Source organism: Homo sapiens, chromosome 1, assembly GCF_000001405.40.
Source record: "Homo sapiens chromosome 1, GRCh38.p14 Primary Assembly".
Classification (NCBI taxonomy): domain Eukaryota; kingdom Metazoa; phylum Chordata; class Mammalia; order Primates; family Hominidae; genus Homo; species Homo sapiens.
This window is the reverse complement of record NC_000001.11, coordinates 13,408,254-13,434,201: the sequence shown is the minus strand read 5'-3', so window position 1 is coordinate 13,434,201 and position 25,948 is coordinate 13,408,254. Positions and strand designations below refer to the sequence as shown.

At 47.6% G+C, this 25,948-nt stretch overlaps 1 protein-coding gene across 1 annotated transcript; it reads right to left on the bottom strand.

Moving 5' to 3' along the window:
- Positions 1 to 12,873: 12,873 nt before the first annotated feature.
- PRAMEF20 (PRAME family member 20) lies at positions 12,874 to 23,752 on the bottom strand. The gene is made up of 4 exons (NM_001099852.2): positions 23,658 to 23,752; positions 17,561 to 17,851; positions 15,502 to 16,080; positions 12,874 to 13,505 (listed from the first exon to the last, which is right to left on the bottom strand). Exons 2-4 carry the CDS (start codon positions 17,845 to 17,847, stop codon positions 12,944 to 12,946), a joined length of 1,428 nt encoding a protein of 475 aa, NP_001093322.2. The 5' UTR covers positions 17,848 to 17,851; positions 23,658 to 23,752; the 3' UTR covers positions 12,874 to 12,943.
- Between the last annotated feature and the right edge of the window lie 2,196 nt (positions 23,753 to 25,948).

The following is a 25,948-nucleotide window of genomic DNA, read 5'->3' as shown; positions in this document are numbered from 1 at the left end:
TGCGGTGCTTGTGGGCCAGCGTGAATCCCGGGTGGGCGTGGGCTCGGGCCCTGCACTTGGAGAGGCCAGCCGGCCCGGCCGTCCCCGCTGTCCCCTGGCAGTGAGGGGCTTAGCACCTGGGCCATAGCTGCGGAGGGTGCACTGGGTCCCCCAGCAGTGCAGGCCCACTGGTGCTGCACTCAATTTCTCGCCAGGCCTTAGCTGCCTCCCTGCGGGGCAGGGCTTGGGACCTGCAGCCTGCCATGCCTGAGCACCCCCGACCATGGGCTCCTGCACAGCTTGAGCCTCCCCGATGAGAGCCGCCCCCTGCTCCACAGCACCCAGTCCCATCGACCGCCCAAGGGCTGAGGAGTGCAGGCGCAAGGTGCGGGACTGGCAGGCAGCTCCACCTGCGGCCCCGGTGTGGGATCCACTGGGTGAAGCCAGTTGGGTTCCTGAGTCTAGTGGGGACTTGGAGAACCTTTATGTCTAGCTAAGGGTTATAAATACACCAATCAGCACTCTGTATCTAGCTCAAGGTTTGTAAACACACCAATCAGCATCCTGGGTCTAGCTCAAGGTTTGTAAATGCACCAATCAGCGCTCTGTATCTAGTTGATCTGGTGGGGACTTGGAGAACCTTTATGTCTAGCTAAGGGTTATAAGGTGAATAAGGTTATAAGGTCATAAGGGTTATAAGGTGAATACACCAATCGGCACTCTGCATCTAGCTCAAGGTTTGTAAATGCACCAATCAGCACTCTGTGTCTAGCTCAGGGTTTGTAAATACACCAATCAGCACTCTGTATTTAGCTAATCTAGTGGGGACTTGTAGAACTTTTGTGTCTAGCTCAGGGATTGTAAATGCACCAATCAGCACCCTGTCAAAATGGACCAATCAGCTCTCTGTAAAACAGACCAATTGGCTCTCTGTAAAATGGACCAATCAGCAGGATGTGGGTGGGGCCAGATAAGAGAATAAAAGCAGGCTGCCTGAGCCAGCAGTGGTAACCCAGTGGGGTTCTCTTCCACACTGTGGAAGCTTTGTTTTTTTGCTCTTTGCAATAAATCTTGCTGCTGCTCACTCTTTGGGTCCACACTGCCTTTATGAGCTGTAACACTCACTGTGAAGGTCTGCAGCTTCACTCCTGAAGCCAGCGAGACCATGAACCCACCAGAAAGAAGAAACTCTGAACATGTCCGAACATCAGAAGGAACAAACTCCGGACACACCACCTTTAAGAACTGTAACGCTCACCGCGAGGGTCCGCAGCTTCATTCTTGAAGTCAGAGAGACCAAGAACCCACCAATTCTGGACACAGCGCCACTGCACTCCAGCCTGGGCAACAAAGCAAAATTCCATCTCCAAAACAAACAAACAAAAAACAAACAAAAAAAACTCTTTACGCCTTCTCCTCCCTTCTTTGACTCTAAGTATCTGGAGTTTGCTTCTTTGTCCTGAACAGAGTAACAATAAAAATCAAGGATTCAAACTAGAAGAGGTGGATATGGTAAGTTATGTTCCATGCTTACCAAGGATTAAAAGTAATGCAGATCTCCCTTCTGAAGGAAGGAGCAAAGGGAGAAAAGTGGTAAATATTCAAAACATGCTCTTCTGTTGTCATTTCTTTTTCCTGGTTAATAAGGGGTCATACAAGGCTGAAAACTTTTTGGAGAAATACTGTGGGTAGGAGCCACTCATTAAAGTCAACTGGAGTAGCTGTGCTAACTTTTTCCCTCCAGGGACAAAAGAAGGTTTTGAATGTTCCAGGAGGTTGGAGCGTCTGTCCGTAGCCACATCAAAGTAGGTCACGTATCTGCTCTAACAGATTTCACTGTCAAATAGGAAGCTGGCACCAGGGCCAGCCAATGATGGAAAGTTAATAGAATATTTCTCATGCAGGAGCTGCTGGATTGCATGAAGATGTTGCAGACATGGAGTCAGACCACACAATGTTAAGTGGAGGAAAAAAATACTATGTTTTGACAATGAATTAACTTTCAGACAACCTCCTGTGCCCTTTCATGAATATGTAAATGTTTAAAGAGAGATTCACTGAGAAGTGATTACCTCCTCCACGTTGCTAATTTTTTTTTTCTTTTAGATGGAGTTTTGCTCTTGTTACCCAGGCTGGAGTGCAATGGCTCAATCTCAGCTCACTGCAACCTCTGCCTCCCAGATTCGAGCCATTCTCCTGCCTCAGCCTCCCGAATAGCTGGGATCACAGGCATATGCCACCACGCCTGGCTAATTTTTTTTTTTTTTTTTAGATGAAGTCTTGCTCTGTCACCCAGGCTGGAGTGCAGTGGCATGATCTCGGCTCACTGCAACCTCCGCCTCCTGAGTTCAAGCAACTCTCTGCCTCAGCCTCCTGAGTAGCTGGGATTACAGGCACTGGCCACCACACCCAGCTAATTTTTGTGTATTTTTAGTAGAGATGGGGTTTCACTATCTTGGCTAGGCTGGTCTTGAACTCCTGACCTCGTGATCCACCTGCCTTGGCCTGCCAAAGTGCCGGGATTACAGGCATGAGCCACTGCGCCTGGCCTAATTTTATATTTTTAGTAGAGATGGGGTTTCACCCCATTGGCCAGCCTGGTCTTGAACTCCTGACCTCAGGTGATCCACCTACCTTGGTCTCCCAAAGTGCAGAGATTACAGGTGTGAGCCACTGTGCCCGGCCTCATTTTTTAAAAAAGTGTCTTCTTGAAACCCAGTTTCCCTTTGCATGTTGCAGCTTTCTCCAATGGTTTGGGTGCCCAGGCCCTAAATCGTGGAATGACATTGACTATTGATACTACTGTTATAGTCCTTTGTCCTGAGAACCTGGTGTCTGCTCCCTGTGTCACACAGCAGTGCCCACAGAGCCTTCCCCTCGGTCAGAGAGACAGGTTTCCTTAGGTGCAGTGAACTTTACTGTCCCATCCAGATCTGCAGGACTAGGCACACCTAACTGCTGTGGGTGTGGATTGCTAATGGCTCAGTGCCCACTCCCACTTCTAGAAAATCATCCTTGGCAGAAGTGAAAGCACCTTGCCAGGGAGGTTATGCAGCTTCACCTCTAGGCATCCCACCACCGTAACTCACTAACAAGGGCAGCTCCCTGGCCTGCAGGTGGGACCAACTCTGCTAAGATTCATGCTCCAGAGCTCCTGGGGGGTGAGGCTGAAGATAGCTTCAGCTCCTGGGGGGTCAGGCTGAAGCTAGCTCCAGCTGCAAACCTGCCCTTGCATGGCTCCTTCCTTTGCCCTGTCCTGCACCACCACTGTCCCCAGCTCTGTTCTCCTAATGAGAGATGACAACGTGCTAGTAGCCCTCGCTCACTCTCAGCTCCTCCTTGGCCTCGGCATCCACTCTGGCCACACTTGAGGAGCCCTTCAGCCTTTCGCTGCACTGTAGGAACCCCTCTCTGGGCTGGGTGAGGCCAGAGCCCGCTCCCTCTGCTTGCAGGGAGAATTCAAGTGCAGCGTGGGTGGGCCGGCAGTGCGGGAGGTCCCAGTGCACCCTCCACAGCTGCTGGCCTGGGTGCTAAGCCCCTCACTGCCTGGGGCCGGTGGCACCGGCTGGCCACTCTGAGTTCAGGGCCCACCTAGCCTGTACCCACCTGGAACTTGCGCTGTCCTGTGAGCACCACACGTAGCCCCAGTTCCCGCCCACGCCTCTCCCTCCACACCTCCCCAGAGGGAGCTGGCTCTGGCCTCGGCCAGCCCAGAGAGGGGCTCCCACAGTGCAGTGAAGGAATGAAGGGCTCCTCAAGCATGGCCAGAGCAGACACTGAGGCTGAGGAGGTGCTGAGAGCGAGCAAGGGCTGCTAGCATGTTGTCACCTCTCAATCCCCCCTCTAAACAGGACACCCCAACTGCTGTTGGGAATTTGGCCGATGACAGCTCTAGCTACTTCCTGCTGGATAGGAGCAATGAAGGGGCCCTGCAGTTGTAGTGTTCTCCAGAGGGGAGCTCTCTAGGCCAGTGAAAGTGCTAGCAGGTTGGTCCAGGGGTCCTCAGTAGAAGTTGTTAGTTGAACTCATTTGGGGTTCCATTTGTAAGACCATTGGTAGCTTGATGGCCTTGATTCTAGAGCAAACAAATTTAACAAGGAGGTTAAAAATACAGGGTCCAAAGGCGAGTAACAGCAAGATGGCTGCCATGGGACTTAGAAAGGGGAGAAGCCATGTTGCCCAACTCCAGAGGTTGGTATAAGAGTTCGAAAGGCGTTGTCTGATTTCAGAAGCCTTTTTCTGTAAATGCCAGGTGGCATCTCGTACTATCCCTGACTGGTTAGTGTAAAAACAACACTCTTCCCCTAAGAAGGTGCAGAGTCCTCCTTTCTCAGCAGTGAGGAAGTCTAGGCCTCGGCAGTTTTGGAGAGTCACTGCTGCCAAAGAGTCTATTTGGGATTGTAAAGTAAGGATAGATTTTGTTATTTTTTGCAAACTGTCTGAGAAATCCTTTGAGAGTGTGTGGTAGTAGGATAATGCAGTAGGTAAACTGGTTCCTGTAGCAGTAGCCATTCCTAACCCTATAAGTAGGGGTATTAGTTGTATGGCTCTGTGCTGACAGACTTGAGCTTTGAGGGGCACAGATAGGGTCTGATTTCCATAAGATTAGAAGTTAGGATAATACATGTTACACTGTTAACTTTTTTAGCAAACTTTACTTTTGTTGAAAAACTTGTAAGTTTGGGATTTCAATTATTCTTTGCTATTAATAAGACCTCGGTCAGTCCATATTAACTTAAAATTGGTATAGATGTCTCCTTACTGTCTGTAAGTACTTTAAGATTTGGCTGAGTGCAAACAACTCACATGTTTGAGCAGACCAGTTATTAGGCAATTTTCCTAACTCTGCTTCTACAAGAGTTTCCTTATCACTTACTGAATACCCACTGTGTCTTTTTCCCTTAATCACCCAGGAGGAACTATCTATCGTCCTGTCCTGAAGGGAGTTCCTCCTAGATCTGGTCGGACCTTTGTATGGTAATTAATTAAGATTTCGATCCCCTGTTAGGAAACCTGCTGGGTTAAGGATTTTTGATAGGGAGGCTACAGGTGGTCAGTGTGTGAGGCACCGCGCCAGGCCACAACCTACTTTTAATGCATAGCTGAGCCTATGAGAGAGAGAAAAAGAAGCATTTATGTGCTAGAACAAAATGAAGATTGTGCCGGGCGTGGTGGCTCACGCCTGTAATCCCAGCACTTTGGGAGGCCGAGGAGGGTGGATTACAAGGTCAGGAGATCGAGACCCTCCTGGCTAACACGGTGAAACCCCGTCTCTACTAAAAATGCAAAAAATTTGCCAGGTGTGGTGGCGGGTGCCTGTGTCCCAGCTACTTGGGAGGCTGAGGCAGGAGAATGGCTTGAACCTGGGAGGTGGAGCTTGCAGTGAGCCAAGATCGCACCACTGCACTCCAGCCTGGGTGACAGAGCGAGACTCCATCTCAAAACAAAAACAAAAACAAAAACAAAATGAAGATTGCAACTAGAGTGGTGAGGAAGTGAACTAAAGTAATGTCTGCGAAGGGCAGGAAAAACGTCATGCAGGGAGTCATTATGAGCCCAGTAATCTAGGGGCATAGATTTTAATACCCACATAGGGGAGGGACAGGAAAATAGGCCAGAGCCTACAAAGGATGGAGAACTGGAATTAATACCACTACATAAAGCCGGAACGTTGCTTTCTCACCCTAAGTGAAAGGCTAGATTCTCCAGGTCCACCCGTCAGCGCAGGGATGGTTCTGAGTGGGAGAAAATGTTTCCCCTTGTAAATCCCATCCTCCAGCCTGTTTTTTTTGGGTGGGTTTGAGTGCAGTGGCTTGATCTTGGCTCACTGCAACCCCTGCCTCCCAGGTTCAAGCGATTCTCCTGCCTCAGCCTCCCCAGTAGCTGGGACTAAAGGCACGTGCCACCACACCCGGCTAATTTTTTATTTTTAGTAGAGATGGACTTTCACCATGTTGGCCAGGCTGGTCTCAAACTCCTGACCTCAAATGATCTGCCTCCCAAAGTGCTGGGATTACAGGCGTGAGCCACCACGGCCGGCCAAAAGGCGTAGTCGTAAAGGAAATTGACAATTGCCGTCAGTGTTTATTACTGCAGGGAGGCATAAACTCCAGCTTATGGAAATCACAGGTATGTGGGTTCTTTTTCTTTTCTTTTTTTTTTTTTCATATTTAGGTAAAAAAGCCTCAGGTGTCTGACCTGCTTGGAGAGAAATTGAAAAATTATTGGCTATGTTGGTTGAGCAGATCTTGGAGCCAAAACCATCTCTGCTGTGAGAGACCCAAGATCCAACATGAAAATGGGATCTGTAGAAACGGGGTTTTACTATGTTGGCTAGGCTGGTCTCGAACTCCTGCCTTCGTGATCCGCCTGCCTCAGCCTCCCAAAGTGCAGGGATTACAGGCGTGAGCCACTATGCCCAGCCGGGATCTCTGATTTCTTTCTTTATTCTTTCTTTCTTTCTTTTTTTTTTTTCTTTTAAGATGGAGTCTTGCTCTGTCACCAGGCTGGAGTGCAGTGGTGCAATCTCGGCTCATTGCAACCTCTGCCTCCTGGGTTCAAGTGGTTCTCCTGCCTCAGCCTCCCGATTAGCTGGGATTACAGGCACCCACCTCCATGCCTGGCTAATTTTTTTTTGTATTTTTAGTAGAGACAGGGTTTCACCATGTTGGCCAGGATGGTCTCTATCTCCTGACCTCATGATCCGCCCGCCTTGGCCTCCCAAATTGCTGAGATTACAGGTGTGAGCCACCTCACCTGGATCTCTAATTTCTAAAGAGCTGAGTACTCCACCTTCTGGTAGACCTGCCTTTTTCATGCATAAGCTTTCTGGCCCTGGAAGCTAAAAATACTTACAATAGTGGGGGAAAAAAAAAAACTCACCAAAGATAATTTAGGGCTGGGCGTGGTGGCACACACCTGTAATCATAGCTACTAAGGAGGTTGAGACAGGAGAATTGCTTGAACCTAGAAGATGGAGATTACAGTGAGCTGAGATCGCGCCACTGTACTCCAGCCTGGGTGACAGAGCGAGACTCTGTCTCAAAAAAACCACAAAAACAAAACAAACAAACAAACAAAACAAAAGAAATGTATAGCAAGTTGCGACCGGGTGCAATGACTCACGCCTGTAATCCCAGCACTTTGGGAGGCTGAGGTGGGCGGATCCCAAGGTCAAGAGATCAAAACCATCCTGGTCAGCATGGTGAAACCCCATCTCTACTAAAAATACAAAAACTAGCTGGGCATGGTGGCACACGCCTGTAGTCTCAGCTGCTTGGGAGGCTGAGGCAGGAGAATCGCTTTAACCCGAGAGGCGGAGGTTGCAGTGAGCCGAGATCACGTCACTGTACTCCAGCCTGGTGACAGAGCAAGACTGTCCCCCACCCCCAAAAGAAAAGAAAAGAAATGTATAGCAAGTCACAGAAGAGTCTGGAAGATAGCACACTAGCACACACACTATGGAGAGAAGTCTGGGATAAGGAAATTAGAGGAGACATTTGCTCTGTGTTTTTAGGATGTTTTGCATTGAGAATTCTGTCCAAAGGGAGGAAAAAAAGAATGAGAAACAAATGAAGCTCACCCACATGTGCCTCTGTGTACCTCTTACTATGCTGGACTTTCTTATCTTTTTTTTTTTTTTTTTGATATGGAGTCTCACTCTGTTACCCAGGCTAGAGTTCATTGGTGCGATCTTGGATCACTGCAACCTTCGCCTCCCAGGTTCAAGCAATGCTCCTCCCTCAGCCTCCCCAGTAGCTGGAACTACAGGTATATGCCACCACGCCCAGCTAATTTTGCATTTTTAATAGAGACAGGGTTTCACCATGTTAGTCAGGCTGGTCTTGAACTCCTGACCTCAAGGGATCCGCACACCTCGGCCTCCCAAAGTGCTGAGATTACAGATGTGAGCTACCGCGCCCAGCCAGTTGCTGGACTTTCATGATACACATGGAGTGGCCACAGTGTCACAAGGGCTATTTTTTTCACAATCCAATTTATTTGTTGGATAATGTTGATGTACCCAAGTTAGCAATTTTTTTTTTTTTTTTTTGAGATGGAGTTTCACTCTTGTTGCCCAGGCTGGAGTGCAATGGTGTGATCTCAGCTCACTGCAATCTCCGCCTCCCAGGTTCAAGCGATTCTCCTGCCTCAGCCTCCCGAGTAGCTGGGTTACAGGCATAAGCGACCATGCCCAGCTAATTTTGTCATTTTTTTTTTAGTAGAGACAGGGTTTCTCCACGTTGGTCAGGCTGGTCTCGAACTCTTGACCTCAGGTGATCCGCCTGCCTCTGCTTCCCAAAGTGCTAGGATTACAGGCATGAGTCACAGCGCCCGGCCAATGGCAAAACATTTTCATGCATCCCGTGGTCAACAGCATTTGCTACCAAGCGCCAGGTTCCATGCTCAGCAGTGGGACCACAGGATAATGGAGACAAAGTCCCTGACCTTTAGCAGCAATATCTAACAAGTGAGATTTTCAAGAAAGAAAAAATCCTTAGGCTGGGCATGGTGGCTCATGCCTGTAATCCCACCACTTTGGGAAGCTGAGGCGGGCGGATCACCTGTGGTCAGTTCGAGACCAGCCTGGCCAACATGGTGAAACCTCATCTCTACCAAAAATATAAAAATTAGCTGTGCCTGGCAGTGCGTGCCTGCAATCCCAGCTACTCCGGAGGCTGAGGCAGGAGAATCACTTGAACCTGGGAGGTGGAGGTTGCGGTGAGCTGAGATCACGCCACTGCACTCCAGCCTGGGTGACAGTGAGACTCCGTCTCAAAAAAAAAAAAAAAAAAAAGAAAAAGAAAAAAGAAAAAATCCTTGTAAAACATACCGTACCCATACAATTCAGTAATCATGCTCCTGGGTATTTAACAAAATGAGTACACTCACACCTGGATGTTTATAGCAGCTTTATTCTTAATTGCCAAAACTTGGAAGCAAGCAAGATGCCATTCAGTAGGTGACTGGATAAACAAACTGTGATCCATCCGGTCAGTGAACTATTATGAAGCCATAAAAAGACATGAAATATTCCTGGCTGGGTGCAGTGGTTCACACCTGTAATCCCAGCACTTTGGTAGGCTGAGGTGAGTGGATCATGAGGTCAGGAGTTCAAGACCAGCGTGGTCAAGATGGTGAAACCCCGTCTCTACTAAAAATACAAAAATTAGCCGGGGATGGTGGTGGGTGCCTGTAATCCTAGCTACTCGGGAGGCTGAGGCAGAGAATTGCTTGAATCCAGGAGGTGGAGATTGGAGTGACCCAAGATCGCACCACTGCACTCCAGCCTGAGCAACAGAACGAGACTCCGTCTCAAAAAAAAAAAAAAAAAAAAAAAAAAAAGTAAAGAAAGATTCCTAAATGCATGATGTTATTGTACAAGTGAAAGAAGGCAATGTGAAAAGACTCATCCTGTTACACATTCTGGAAAAGGCTTTTGCCTTTTTCTATGGAGAGAGTAGAAAGCCCAGTGGTTGCCAGGGGGTGAGAATACAATGGGATGAGTGGGAAGAGGACAGAGGACTTTAGGGAAAGAAAACTACTCTGCATGATGTTCTAATGGTGGATATCTGTCATTATCCCTTTATTAAAATCCATAGCATATACAAAACCAGCAGTGATCCTGCATGTAAACTATGGACATTGGGTGATGATGATGTGTCCATGTGGCTCATTGATTGTGACGAATGCTCTGTGCTGGTGTGGGTGTTGATCCCGTAGGGGTGCTGTGTGTTGAAGGAGGAAGGGGGTAGATGAGAACTCTGCACTTTCTGTTTAGTTTTTCTGTGAACCTAAAACTTCTATTAAAAAAAAAAAAAATAGGCTGGGTGTGCTGGCTCATGCCTGAAATCCCAGCACTTTAGGAGGCCGAGACAGGTGGATCACTTGAGATCAGGAGTTTGAGATCAGCCTGGCTAACATGGTGAAACCCCGTCTCTACTAAAAATACAAAAAATTAGCCGGGCATTGTGGTGGGCACCTGTAGTCCCAGCGACTCTGGAGGCTGAGGCAGGAGAATTGCTTGAACCTGGTAGGCAGAAGTTGCAGTGAGCAGAGATCGCACCATTGCCTCCAGCCTGGGCAACAAGAGTGAAACTCCATCTCAAAAAAAAAATAAATAAAATAAAATAAATAAAAATATAAATAAATAATAATAGGCCGGGCATGGTGGCTCACACCTGTAGTCCTAGCACTTTGGGAGGCCGAGGCAGGTGGATCACCTGAGGTCCGGGGTCCGAGACCAGCCTGGCCAACTTGGCAAAGCCCTGTCTCTACTAAAAATAAAAATAACAATAATAATACAAAACTTAGCCAGGCGTGGTGGCTCATGCCTGTAATCCCAACTACTTGGGAGGCTGAGGCAGTAGAATCGCTTGAACCCTGGAGGCGGAGGTTGCAGTGAGCCGAGATCGTGCCACTGTGCTCCAGCCTGGGCGACAGAGTGAAACTCGTTCTCAAAAATAAATAAATAAACAAACTGAAGCCTGGGCACAGTGGCTCACACCTGTAATCCCAGCACTTTGGGAGGCACAGGCAGGTGGATCGCTTGAGCCCAGAAGTTCAAGACCGGCCTGGGCAACATGGTGAAACCTGGTCTCTACTAAAAATACAAAAATAAGCCAGGCATGATGGTTCATGCCTGTTGTTCCAGCTACCAGGTGGGCTGAGACAGGAAGATCACGTGAGCCTTGGGAGGTTGAGGCTGCAGTGAGCCGTGATCATGCCACTGCACTCCAGCCTGGACGAGAGTGAGACCTGGTCTCAAAATAAAATAAAATAAAATAAACTCAATACTTAAAAAAACCTGTAATGCTTCCTTCCAATGCTAAAATTGTACTATTCTAAGTATATTTAAAGAACAAGCGATTCTTGTTCAGTGTTTTTAAAATTAGTTTTAAAAATCTCATTCTTTTTGAAAATCCAAACTAAGTTAACCATTCTTTCATTCTTTTTTTTTTTTTTTTGAGACGGAGTCTCGCTCTTGTTGCCCAGGCTGTAGTGCAATGGCGCGATCTCAGCTCACCGCAACCTCCGCCTCCCGGGTTCAAGTGATTCTCCTGCCTCAGCCGCCTTACAGACATGCACCACCACGCCCGGCTAATTTTGTATTTTTTAGTAGAGACAGGGTTTCCCCATGTTGCCAGGCTAGTCTCGAACTCCTGACCTCAGTTGATCCGCCTGCCTCGGCCTCCCAAAGTGCTGGGATTTCAGGCATGAGCCACTGCGCCCGGCCTGTTTTTTTTTTCCTGAGACGGAGTCTTGCTCTGTTGCCACTGCTCCCAGCTGTTAACCATTCTTAAAATATCACACTGCATTCTTTAAAAGTTCTATATCTTTAATATACATAAATGACAACACAAATATTTGTACTCAAATAGTATTTACATAATAGTAAAATTTTTAATATACCATAAAATATAATCCTTGCAACACTAAATTACACCATCTGGTCTCATCTACCAGCAGATGGCAGTCGAGACCCATGGACTGGAAATTTTGATTTTATAATCACTGGAAATGAATCCAGTCCTGCACTGCCCAGCCCGTCCCCTGCTGGCTCCTGGGGCTCTGCTGTTTGGGGGAATCATGATGAAATTGTGGCGGCGTGTAGAAGCTGAGCCCCATTGCATGTCCTGGGTTCTTGTTGCCTCCCTGTTACCAGGAAATGGAGGTGAGATTAAAAGATGAAAAATGCGGCTGGGCGCGGTGGCTCACGCCTGTAATCCCAGCACTTTGGGATGCCGAGCAGGGAGGATCACGAGGTCAGGAGATCGAGACCATCCTGGCCAACATGGTGAAACCCCGTCTCTACTAAAAATACAAATATTAGCGGGGCGTGGTGGCGCGCGCCTGTAGTCCTAGCTGCTCGGGAGCACGAGGCAGGAGAATCGCTTGAACCCGAGAGGCGGAGGTTGCAGTGAGCCAAGATTGCACCACTGCACTCCAGCCTGGTGAAGAGCAAGGCTTTGTCTTAAAAAAAAAAAAAAAAAGAAAGAAAGATGAAAAATGCTGGGACTTCTGCTGAGAAGAGAGAAAAGAACAAGGTGTATTGATCTTACTTATGCCAGGCCCCATGCCAAGCCCTAAACATGGACCATCTTATCGGATCCTACAAGGGTCCCATAAGCTGTTGGACACTACCATCCTGATTTTACAGGGAAACTGAGGCTCTTGGCTAAGATCCCTGGCAGCAACACCAGCCCCTGAATCCTCAGCAGGATCCTTCACTTAGGTGCCCTTTAAGTAGGTTTCTTCAACACAGGGAAGGTCACTCATCACCCACAGGCACTTGATCGTTATCCACCCTTTGATGATGTGAGATTCCAAAACACTCTGCACTAGTCTCTTCCTTGATAGAGAGAGAGGGTAGGTGTTATGAGAAAATCTCTCATCAATCTGAGCTAGCTCCCCAAAAAGATGTAACTTTTTTTTTCTTGAGACAGATTGTTTTTATTTACTTTTTTGAGACAGATTCTCGCTCTGTCGTCAGACTGGAGTGCAGTGGCATGATCTCGGCTCACTGCACCCTCTGCCTCCCGGGTTCAAGCGATTCTCCTGCCTCAGCCTCCTGAGTGGCTGGGACTACGGGCATGCGCCACCACGCCCAGCTAATTTTTGTATTTTTAATAGAGACGGGGTTTCACCATGTTGGCCAGGATGGTCTCGATCTCTTGACCTCGTGAGCCACCCCCCCGCCTCAGCCTCCTGAAGTGCTAAGATTACAGGTGTGAGCCACCGTGCACAGCCTAGATGTAACTTTTAAAATGTGGGATTGAAATATTTAAAAAGTGTTATGGCGGGTGCGTCTGAGGCAGGAGAAGCGCTTGCACTCAGGAGGCAGAGGTTGCAATGAGTCAGGATTGTGCCACTGAACTCCAGCCTGGGCGCAAAAAGACCTAGGTTTTAGTTTTCAAGTGTTCAGAAAAAAGAGTTTGATATATCCACCCAAATAGGCAGGCATTCAACAGCAACACCGATCTACCTCCAGGTCGTAAAGTGACCTGTTGCCACACTGAGGGCAGTAGTCGGTACAGAACAAGATCCTCTCGGGCTCCCTTAAGGCCCTCACTCTCCCCATCAGCTCAGCCCCAAGTTGGGCAAATCTGCTCCGGCAGACGATACCACGAACATCATAACTCTCCCGCGGGGCAGGATACAGCTCCAGGCATAAGTTGTTGAGTCTGATTGTGTGGCACAGCAGGTTCTCCAGGGTGGCCGTGGAGATGGGATTTCCACGGAAGCTGAAGGTGGTGAGCTCAAAGCAGCGGCTCAGGGCAGGCAGGATGGCGTTGACTTGGGAGTCTACGATGCCACAGTCATCTAAGTCCAGGTACTCAAGGGTGGCTGCAACTTTTTCTAGGAGAACTTGGAGCGGCACAAGGCTGAAATTGGCCAGTCTGGTGCCACTCAGGTCCAGGGTCTTTAGTTGACCAATGCTCGGGTACTTGGACAGATGCTTCAAGTCTGATTCCAAAAGCACACAGTTAGTTATTGCGAGGATGTTTAACGAGGTCTTTAGACAGCTGGGGAGAGAGAGCAGGAAGTTAGTTCTGGGGAATCGTAGGGGTGAGTGGAGGGTGGTAGGGAATGACTTCAAAGTGATGGATGGAGACCATTTTGCCCAAGCCCAGGGTCATTCTGATTGTCTGATAGTCAACACTTAGGATGCTGCGTGATGAAGAGCTTTGCCACTGAGGTCAATTCCATTTTAGGCCTGGCGCAGTAACTCACACCTGTAATCCCAGAACTTTGGGAAGCTGAGACGGGCAGATCACTGGAGGTCAGGAGTTTGAGACCAGCCTGGCCAACATGGCAAAACCCTGTCTACTAAAAATGCAAAAATTAGCTGGGCATGGTGGTGGGCGCCTGTAATTCCAGCTACTTGGGAGGCTGAGGCAGGAGAACCGCTTGAACCCAGGAGATGGAAGTTGCAGTGAGCAGAGATCGTGCCACTGCACTCCAGCCTGGGTGACAGAGCGAGACTCTGTCTCAAAAGAAAGAGAAATAAAAAACCCATTTCAGGCTGAGTCTTTTCCCTATCATTTATAGGAATGGATCCAGTTCACAGAATCCCTAAAGCTCCCTTTCCTCATCTGTCAGGCAGAAAACCACATCTCTGGGCCACATGAGACCATTGGGGATGCAGGCATAAAGGACAAACCCAGGCAGGATCCTGCAACATCAGCTGGGGTGGGCAGGCTGCAGGCGTCCCTGACACGCCTGTATCATCAGCAAACCATCTATCACTTTCACCATTCTTTGTGCCTGGTCCCTGACCCTCTGTTTCAGAATCATACATTTCTCAGGTAATTAATTTACCTGGAGCTCAAAACAACCCATTATGACAGGGAATTAGACATGGGATCATTCATGTTCACCAAGCTGTGGGGCACAGAGCTCATAATCTGACATGTGCAGGTTTGCTGAGCATTCCCCTCTTCAGTGCCCACTTCACTTCCCTACTTCCCATCATCTTGTTAAAAATTATCTTGTTTTGGCCGGGTGCGGTGGCTCACACCTGTAATCCCAGCATTTTGGGAGGCCGAGGCGGGCGGATCACAAGGTCAGGAGATCGAGACCATCCTGGCTAACATGGTGAAACCCCATCTGTACTAAAAAATACAACAAAAATTAGCCGGGCGTGGTGTCGGGCACCTGTTGTCCCAGCTACTCAGGAGGCTGAAGCAGGAGAATGGCGTGAACCCTGGGCAATAAAGCGAGACAGAGCAAGACTCCATCTCAAAAAAACAAAAAAAATTATCTTGTTTTTGGGTCGGGTGTGGTGGCTCACGCCTATAATCCTGACACTTTGGGAGGCCGAAGTGGGTGGATCACCTGAGGTCAGGAATTTGAGACCAGCCTGGCCAACATGGTGAAACCCCATCTCTACTAAAAATACTTAGCCAGGAGTGGTGGCCCGTGCCTGTAATCCCAGCTACTCAGGAGGCAGAGGCAGGAGAATTGCTTGAACCCAGGAGGCAGAGGTTGCAGCGAGCCAAGATCACACCACTGCACTCCAGCCTGGGTGATAAAAGTGAAATTTCATCTCAAAAAAAGAAAAATTATCTTGTTTGTATTTTTTATTTATTTATTTTTTAGACAGGAGTCTTTGCTGTGTTACCCACACTGGTCTTAAACTCCTGGGCTCAAATTATCCTCTTGCTAGCACTAACCAAAGTGCTAGGATTACAGGCATGAGCCAGCATCCCTGGCCTATTTCTCATCATCTTAACTTAGACACACATCCTCAGGAAGAATTCACAAATGCAACCTCACTAAATCTGAATCCTCCAGTAGCTAGCTTCCTAGCATGGCAGCCTCTCTATAGCATCTACCCCAGCTGATTCCTCTGTCTTCATTGGGATGAATGTGTGATACCCACTTCCAACAGGAAAATGCACTGACATTCTAGTGTCCCCTTTACTGTTACATCCTCATAGGCTGGCTCACAGTAGATGCCCCCTGTAACAAGAAAGGCTCTGCTGTGGTCTGCAGAGAAAGCTCACTACCCTTCCTCACCTGAGCATCTGGTCCAGGTGGCCTTCGAGGAAAGAAACAGAGTTCATATAAAGCTTTTGGAGGCAGCGCAGCTTGAGGAACTGAGTGGTGAACTGGGTAACAAACTCCTTCTTCTGCTCTGGGGAAATGTAGCGAGAATCTATGTCAGAGAGAACGAGCTTCCGAAGATTCCTCATCTGGCCGAGGTATGGGGTAAACTCTGCCAGGACGGGCAGTGTCCAATTGCAATTCACTTCCACCTCCTGGATACAGTCTAGGTTGACTGTTTTCAGGATGTTTCTGATATTGTGGAAGAGCATTCCCAACATTTTCAGCTTCTTACAGCACAGGTGTACTAAACCTTCCCTCTGCTTGACCCATAGAAAGAGGCAGGTGAAGTATTCATCCAGAGTCCTGTTCTTGAGGCAAAGGTCTATGAACACAGTCAAGGGCTGCTGTCCTCTCATCCTTGGACAGTCCTGCAGTGGTTTTCTGTTCATCATGGCATTTGGTAAGCACCTACGGGCCATGGCTTCAGACCAAACCATCCAGAAGTTCTCACTGACATCCTGTAAATCCAGCACTTGAAGTTTCCACCTCCTGAGGAAAAATAGAAGAGAGGCTGAGAATTTAAGGACTCACTTCTGAGGCTGGGCTCAGTGGCTCACGCTTGTAATCCCAGCACTTTGGGAGGCCAAGGCGGGCGGATCACAAGGTCAGGAGATCGAGAACATCCTGGCTAGCATGGTGAAACCCCGTCTCTACTAAACACACACACACACACACACACACACACACACACACACACACAAATTAGCCGGGCGTGGTGGCGGGCGCCTGTAGTCCCAGCTACTCGGGAGGCTGAGGCAGGAGAATAATGTGAACCCGGGAGGCGGAGCTTGCAGTGAGCTGAGATCGCGCCACTGCACTCTAGCCCCAGCCTGGGCGACAGAGCAAGACTCCGTCTCAGAAAAAAAAAAAAAAAAAGGACTCACTTCTGAACTTATACTTCACATCCTGGATATCAGCTGCTCTCTTCCCTGCTTCTTTTCCCTCTCTCTGACTTTTCTCCACCCTGTTTTACCCTTGGATCCTGCCCAGTTCCACTTTTTTTTTTTTGAGACAGAGTCTCCCTCTGTCGCCCAGGCTGGAGTGCAGTGGCGCAATCTCGCCTCACTGCAACCTCCAGCTCCCGGGTTCAAGCAATTCTCCTGCCTCAGCCTCCCAAGTAGCTGGGATTACAGGTGTCTGCTACCATGCCCAGCTAATTTTTGTATTTTTAGCTGAGTTGGGGTTTCACCATGTTCAGAGGTGAGGCCAGCTGGACTTCCTGGCTCCAGTGGGGACTTGGGGAACTTCCCTGTCTTACATGAGGATTGTAAAATGCACCAATCAACGCTCTATAAAATGCACCAATCAGCAGGATTCTAAAAGTAGCCAATCGTGGGGATGATTGAAAAAAAGGCACTCTGATAGGACAGAAATGGAACATGGGAGGGGACCATAAGGGAATAAAAGCTGGCCACCCCAGTCAGCAGCGGCAACCTACTCAGGTCCCCTTCCACGCTGTGGAAGCTTCGTCCTTCTGCTCTTCACCATAAACCTTGCTACCGCTCACTCTTTGGGTCCGTGCCATCTTTAAGAACTGTAACACTCACTGCAAAGGTCTGTGGCTTCATTCTTGAAGTCAGCAAGACCATGAACCCACCGGCAGGAACCAATTCTGGACACAATGTTGGCCAGGCTGGTCTTGAACTCCTGACTTCAGGTGATCCACCTGCCTCAGCCTCCCAAAATGCTGGGATTACAGGTGTGAGCCACTGTGCCCAGCCTAGTTCCCACTTTTAGTGGTGCCTTTCAGTGCCACTAGAAGAGAGGTTCCTGTTACCTCGGTGGACCCCGGGTGATGAGCAGTCCTTTCCCTGAGGAGCTGGGCAATGGCCAAGGCCTCTCTAAGCTTCCTCACCAAAACCATTAGAAGCCTGTGGGCCCTCCTTGGACCTCCTCACTCCTCATGACCCAGCTGTTCCTTCTGTTGGACACCTGGGCCCTCCCCACCAGCCCACTTGGGCCACCTCACCTGAGACGAACCCTGTGGGTAAGCAGTGCATCAAGCCCATCGAGCACAGCTTGGAAGGTCTCTGGGCAAGGCCTTTTCATCAGAGACCCCAGAGGAAGGCGGAGGAAAGGCCAGGCCTGCACCATCAGCTTCAGGGCCTCACAGTGTCTCCTGCTGAAGGCCTCCATGAACAATGGGGGAAAAAGTTCCGTGGGCAGCTCCTCCAGGGTGGAGATGGCCAAGGCCTCGTCCCTCAGCAGGCTCCGCCCCGCCAGCTCCAGGAGTCTGGGTGGAGTCCGGATGCTCATCTTCCTGAATCTGCAAAGAAAAGTTCCAGAGGACAAATCCAGAGAAAAGGCATCACTCTCAGGCCAAGCCCATGCAATCTCATCTCCCAGGGCCAAAGTCATTGCTCTGGCAATGGTGAAAGAGCCCTCAGTTTACTCCAATTCTACTCTGTACTCAGTGGCCACAAAGCCAGGCTTCTGCCTCTGCTGCATCAGCATAAGCATCTCCCAAGCAGTGAGGAGGCAGGGCCACCACTAGCCCTTCCTTTCTATCCAGTGCTCATCCAGTGAGTAGTAAATATGGAGGAACCTGAAAGCTAATCCCTCCCACCTTTGGGGGAAATTTCTAATTACTCAAGGTTCTAAAACAATGGGAATGGGAGTGTCAAAAGCCTACATGCCTACATTCTCAGTTCCTGCAAATAAGCTGGTTGGGAACATTCATGGGGCATCCCTAGAATGGGTTCTATTTGTTTTGTTTTCTTTTCATTATTTAAGCTTACTTTCTTTCTCTTTCTCTCTCCCTTTCTTCTTTCCTTCTTTCCCTCATCCCTCCCTCCCTCCCTCCCTCCCTTTGTTCTTTTTTTTGCCAGGGTCTTGCTCTGTCACCCAGGCTGGAGTGCAGTGGTGCAATCTCAGCTCAGTGCAGCCTGGACCTCCCAGGCTCAGAGGATTCTTCCATCTCAGCCTCCCAAGTAGCTGGGACCACAGGCATGCATCACCATGCCCAGCTAACCTTTTAGTTTTTGATGTTTTGTAAAGACAATGGGTTTCCCTATGTTGCCCAGGCTGGTCTTGAACTCCTAGACTCAAGCAATCCACCCACCTTGGCCTCCCAAAGTGCTGGGATTACAGGCATGAGCCTCTGCTCCGGCCTCATTATTTAAAATTTCAGTGGGAAACTTTGAAAGCTATGTGACAATGTTATGGATCATTCGCAAGACAGAGATGTTTCCATACACACTTCTTACACATATTAAAAATGAACCACTTTGGCTGGGCATGGTGACTTATGCCTGTAATCCCAGCACTTTGAGAGGCCGAGGCAGGCAGATCATTTGAGGTCAGGAGTTCAAGACCAGCCTGGCCAACATGGTGAAACCCTGTCTGTACTAAAAATACAAAAAAATTAGCTGGGCATGGTGGTACACACCTGTAATCCCAGCTACTTGGGAGGCTGAGGAAGGAGAATCACTTGAACCCGGGAGGCGGAGGTTACAGTGAGCTGAGATTGTGCCACTGCACTCCAGCCTGGGCGACATGAATGAAACTCCAAGCTCAAAAAACAAAGAACCACTTTGGATAGAGCATAAGGGAACAAATGGATCACATGTTCAGAACAAAGCTATCACTCTTAAGACAAGCCTGACCAATATGGTGAAACCTCATCTCTACTAAAAATACAAAAATTAGCTGGGCATGGTGGCACACACCTGTAATCCCAGCTACTTGGGAGGCTGAAGCTGGAGAATCACTTGAACCTGGGAGGCAGATGTAGCAGTGAGCTGAGATTGAGCCACTCCACTGCAGCCTGGGCGACAGAGTGAGACTATGTCTCTCTCTCTCTATATATATATATTACATAGAATGTTTTAAAACTTTTATTAAAGGGGCTGGGTGCGGTGGTTCACACCTGTTATCCCAGCACTTTGAGAGGCTGCAGCGGGTGTATCACCTGAGGTCAGGAGTTGGAGACTAGCCTGGCCACCATGGTGACACCCCGTCTCTACTAAAAAAAAACCCACAAAAATTAGCTGGGCGTGGTGGCATGCACCTGTCATCCCAGTTACTTGGAAGATTGAGGCCTGAGAATCACTTGAACCCGGGAAGCAGAGGTTGCAGTGAGAAGGGATTGCCCCACTGCACTCCGGCCTGGTCGGCAGGGTGAAACCCTGTCTCAAAAAAAACTTTTAGTAAAAAGGAAAACCTAACTTGTAAAATCACAATACCCCAAAGTCTATGAACTATAATTTAAGGGCACACAAAATCACAAAATATGTATTTAAAATGTCAAGAAGGCTGGGTGAGGTGGCTCACGCCTGTAATCCTGGCACTTTGGGAGGCCAAGGCAGGTGGATCACAGGGTCAGGAGTTCAAGACCAGCCTGGAAAACATAGTGATATCCAGTCTCTAGTAAAAATACAAAAAAAAAAAAAAAAAAAAAAAATTAGTCAGGTGTGATGGCGGGTGCCTGTAGTCCCAGCTACTTGAGAGGCTGAGTCAGGAGAATCGCCTGAACCAGAGAGTCGGAGGTTGCAGTGAGCTGAGATCATGCCACTGCACTCCAGCCTGGGCAACAGAATGAGAGTCCTTCTCAAACAAACAAATAAACAAAAAACAAAAACACAAAAACTGCTTGGCTAAGAATTTTGAAATGGCAAAAACCAAAGCATAAATCAAAATTTTGGGGATAAAGACAAACCTGCATTTAGAGAAAAATTCAAAGCCAAAATCTGTTCATCTGATAAAACAGGATAATTCTCTGTGCCATCTTGGGCTGCCTGAAACTATGAGACTGGCTGACTGCAGATCAGATGGGAGTGTCTTTATGGAGGTGGAGACTTACCAGATCTGGACTCAGTGTTCAGGGTGCTTGGACCCCTCACAGTACCAAGCAGTAACTCCAGGCCTCAGGTCTCTCCCATAGATCTTCAGAGGATTTTATGGACCTTTCTAATCACATCACCCCTTTGCCAATCAGAAAACACCTTGGCTAGGCACAGTGGCTCACACCTGTAATCTCAGCACTTTGGGGGGCTGAGAAGGGTGGATGCCTAGAGGTCAGGAGTTTGAGACCAGCTTGGCCAACATGGTAAAACCCTATCTGTACCAAAAATACAAAAATTAGCCAGGTGCAGTGGTGTGTGCCTGTAGTCCCAGCTACTAGGGAGGCTGAGGCAGGAGGATCACTTGAACCCAGGAGGTGGAGGTTGCAGTGAGCTGAGATTGTACCACTGCACTCCAGCCTGAGAAATAGGCTAGATTCATCTCAAAAACAAAAACAAAAACAACAACAACAAAAAAGAAAACTACATTTAAATCTCTTAAGCTCCACCCAGTTAATCCTGACTGGATTTTTGGCTTTCTTCCAGATTAACTGATTGAATTAGATATTCATCCATGAAAGTGAAAGATTTAGGTATAGGGTGAAAGTCCATGACTCATTCACTGATTCACTCCACAAACATGGAATTTTACTAATATATGTCCTTCCTAGTCCTGAGTGTGAGATAGGGAAGGGTTGAATCTCTTCCTGACATTAGACAGAAAGAAAAAACTTGAAAGTATCTTTGTTGAGGGATCCTTGGTCACAAATTTATCAGAATATTTCAGAGTTAAAACAGTTTACAAAGACAGAGATGACAGTCCCTAAGAAAACACAATAGAAATCATCATGTATCCAGTGATTACCTGGGTGGTATAATTTAATTTTTTTTGGTGTTGCAGGGTGGGGGGCTGAGTCTCATTTCCTAGCCCAGGCTGGAGTGCAGTGGCGTCATTTTGGCTCACTGTAACCTCCACCTCCCAGGTTCAATGGATTCTCATGCTTCAGCCTTCCATGTAGCTGGGATTACAGGCATGCACCCCCGCACCCATGTCTCCATTCGGGTGGAAGAGTTACAATGAGGATGTGATTGGTTTAAAATTAAGCTCAAAGATTCTCTGAAGGAAATCAGGCCAAAATTACCATGAAAACTGGATAGGATAATTCAATTACAGTGAAAACTAGATAGGAAAATGAAGGGTGGGAGCCGGGCAGGGTGGGGCTGAGTGTTTTAAATGAAATTTGGGGAAGAAACCACGACATGTGAATATGTTGGGGGATCTTAGGGGATCTGTTTGGGGATCTTGAAGAATTGAAAGTCTGGTGTCTAGATTGAGGTTAAAAATTAAAAGGTTAAGTAGCTACAAAAGAGAAGATGTAGAATCTGAAAAATTCAACATTATCCTTGAGGGGAGGGAGAAAGGTTCAATGTTTCCAAGAAGTTAAAGGGTGTTTCCTCCCAAAGACATGGGCTTAGCTCAGCAAAGCAGTTTGAGAAAATTAAAGAATGTGAGGCCAGGTGTGGTGGCTCACGCCTGCAGTCCCAACACTTTGGGAGGCTGAGGTGGGTGGATCACTTGAAGTCAGGAGTTGGAGACCAGCCTGGGCAACACGATGAACTCCTGTCTCTACTAAAAATACAAAAATTAACTTGGTGTGGTGGCTCATGCCTCTAATCGCAGCTACTTGAGAGGCTGAAGTTGTAGTGAGCCCGGATAGCCTGAGTGAGAGAGCAAAACTCTGCCTCAAAAATAAATAAATAAATAAATTAATTAAATTAAATAAATAAATAAATAAAATAAATTAAATTAAAGGCAGCACAGAATGACCAATTAAAAGCCACTAAGGTGGTCACAGCCAGGTATAAAGGACACCAGAGAAAAAGTCTCTAGTGTTAGGATAATCTTGTCATGGGTGGGCAAAAATTACCACTGGGACATAAGCAAGTCTCAAGTCAATTTTCATGCAACTCGGAAAGTCTTGGTCACTGGTGGAACAATGAGGGCACAGGCCATCACCAAGGATAAAGAGAGAATTCTGTACACGGAACACTTGTCAAACCAAATCACTTTGCCCAAACTCTTCAAATTCCAACAGAATTTATAGGATTTCCTTTGCTCTAGAGATATTATTAAGAAATGGAATGTGGTTCTCAAAATTCTAAGGCATCCCAAACAAAGCCTCTGGGACTCCAGCCAGCTATACCTTCAAAATTCATGGTCATTCTCATGTGCATTTTTAAACTGATGGGAAAATTACACCCAGGATAATGACCATAAGGCCATTGTGGGAATTATTGGAAATCTTTAAGACTGTTTTTCTTACAAAACCGCAATTGTAGGATTAAACAGTCTGAATGGGATGCTAGCATGTAGAGACTTCTAAACTCTTTCTCTCCTTTTTTGAAGGGGGGTGGGTTGGGATCTGCCTACTGATTTCAATTAATTGGATATTGTTTAAACTGTTTGCATAAGATATATTTTGGCGGTGGGGGGGAGGGGGCCAGAGTCTCACTCTGTTGCCCAGGCTGGAGTACAGCAGTGGTGTGAGCACGGCTCATTGCAGCCTCAAACTTCCGGGCTCAAGGGATTCTCCCACCTCAGCCACCCAAATAGCTGGGACTACAGATGCATGCCACCATGCCCGGCTAATTTAAAAACATTTTATGTAGAGGCTGGGGACTGGTGGTTGATGGCTGTAATCCCAGCACTTTGGGAGGCCAAGGTGGGTGGATCACTTGAGGTCAGGAGTTCGAGACCAGCCTGGCCAACATAGTGAAACCCCACCTCTACTAAAAATACAAAAATTAGCCAGGCATAGTGGCAGGCGGCTGTAATCCCAGCTACTCAGGAGGCTGAGGCATGAGAATTGCTTGAGCCTGGGAGGCGGAGGTTGCAGTGGGCCGAGATCATGCCACTGCACTGCAGCCTGGCCAACAGAGCAAGACTCTATCCCCCACCAAAAAAAAATATTTTGTAGAGATGGAGTTTTGCCATGTTGCCCAGATTGGTCTTGAACCCGTGGGCTCAAATGATCCTCCCACATTGACCTCCGAGAGTGTTGGGATTGTAGGCATGGGTCACTACTCCCACCAAGAATTCTGAAAGGATATAAACCAAAGCACAAATCAAATTTTTTGAAATGAAGACAAAACTGCATTTAAAGGAAAAAGTCAAAGCTTCAAATTGTTCATACAAAAAAAAAAAAAAAGACAGGATATAACTCTGTGCCTGCACTGTCACCATCCCAGACCGGCTGACTGTAGGTCAGATGGGAGTGTCCTTACAGAGATTAGGGACTTACCAGATCTGGACTCAGTTTGCAGGGTGCTCAGACCTCAGGAAAAACCAAGCAGAAACTCCAGGCTTGAAGACTTTGGGTCTCTCCTGTGGGTCTTTAGAAGCTTTTATTGACCTTTCTAATCACAACTCCCACCCACGCCCCTCCACGTATCCGCTGCTAGCTTCCAATCAAAAAGTGGTATCTGATTGCATTTCTGAAGCTCCACCCAGTTAATCCTGATTGGGTTTTTGGCTCTCCCCAGATTAATGGATTGAATCAGATATCCATTCATACCAGATATCCATATTCATTTCATGAATCAAGAAAGTGACAGTATTAGGGATAGAGTGGAAGTCAAGAATTCATTCATTCAAGGCTCGGTGGCTCATGCCTGTATTACCAGCACTTTGGGAGGCCAAGGCAGGTGGATCACTTGAGGTCAGGAGTTCAAGACCAGCCTGGCCGACAGGGTGAAACCCTGTCTCTACAAATATAGAAAAATTAAGGCCAGGCATGGTGGATCACGCCTGTAATCCCAGCACGTTGGGAGACTAAGGTGGGTGGATCACCTGAGGTCAGGAGTTCAAGACCAGCCTGGCCAACATGGTGAAACCCTGTCTCTGTCTCAAAATAAAATAAAATAAAATACAAAAATTGGCTGGGCATGATGGTGGGGGCCTGTAATCCAGCTACTTGGGAGGCTGAGGTGGGAGAATTGCTTGAACCCAGGAGGCAGAGGTTACAGTGAGTGGAGATTGTGCCATTGCACTCCAGCCTGGGCAACTGAAGGAGACTCTGTCAAAAAAAAAAAAAAATTCATTCATTCATGAACTCCACAAACACTGATGGAATTTTACTAATATGTGACCTGCATAGTCCTGAGTGTGAGGCAGGGAACGGTTTGATCTGTTCTAGACATTAAAGAGAAAAATAAAATCTGAAAGGAGTATTGTTAGGAGATCTTTGGCCACATCAAAATTATAAAAATACTTTATAGTGGCCGGGTGCGGTGGCCCACACCTGTAATCCCAGCACTGTGGGAGGCCAAGGTGGGTGGATCATGAGGTCAGGAGTTCGAGACCAGCCTGACCAACATGGTGAAACCTGGTCTTTACTAAAAATACAAAAATTAGCTGGGCTTGGTGGCATGTGCCTGTAATCGCAGCTACTCAGGAGGCTGAGGCACTCCAGCCTGGGTGACAGAGCAAGACTCCATCTCAAAAAAAAAAAATGCTTTATAGTTAAAATAGCTTTATAAAAACAAAGGTGTCATCCCTACAAAATAAGAATAAAAATCTCCTTGTATCGAATGGTCTTGTGGGTTTTATATCACCTAATGTAGCAGATTATACGCTTGTTCTGGTGGAAGAGAGGTGCCACTGAGGGCGTGAGTGGTCTCAGGGCTTAGGTTAAGGCTTGTCTGGAAGAAATTGAAACCGTATTTCTAAACTTTATAAATTTAATCAGTGAAGAAGGGAGGGGGAGAAACCAAAACAAACCAAGCTTGCAGTGCATTCAGCATTCATCAGGAGGTCAGCTTGCTCTCTGACCTGCTTCCTCATGGTTGCTGGCAGCCTACTGTCCCAAAATCATGTAGACCTTAGATTACAGTTCCCCTTAACTGCCCTGCAGACGACAATTTAAGCATTGTAAAACATTAGCTTTTTCATTTGACATATTCTTTCAGGTTCTGCATGTCAGTGAAACTACTGATGCCAGCTGATCTGAAGGGCTCTGCAAGGCACCAACTCACCAAAGAATGCAGTTTTGACATCCTGATGACTTCATACCTCTTACTGCCACCAAACTACACCAACTTTCCAGCCGCTTGCTATCCATGATCCCCTGAAAACCCTGAGTAATCCTTGGGGAGATGAATTTGAGGATCTCCTCCTAGCTTATCATTCAGCCACTCTGTGATCATTAAACTCTCTGCTGCAAACCCTGCTGTCTCAGAATATTGCTAAGCTACTGTGCAGCAGGCATAGGAACCTGATGGTCCTGTAATAAAGTCATGTCAAAATTACGAAGGGAAGTGAGGGTGGGGGCTGGGCAGGGTTGAGCTGGGTGTTTTAATTGGATCCTGGGAGTGAACCAAGACTTGGTAAACATGTTGTGGGTTATTGAGGTGGTGGAGGAGGAATCTATCCAACATTGCACTGGATGACCCCTTGGTTTTGAACCTTATGAGCAAGGATGAGTCTTTCAAAACAGTTTATGTAATCTTCCTTATTTTTCCTTTCAAATCTTTGTCTTCCTTTACCTCCCTGGATAATCTCACATTTATTCCCATTG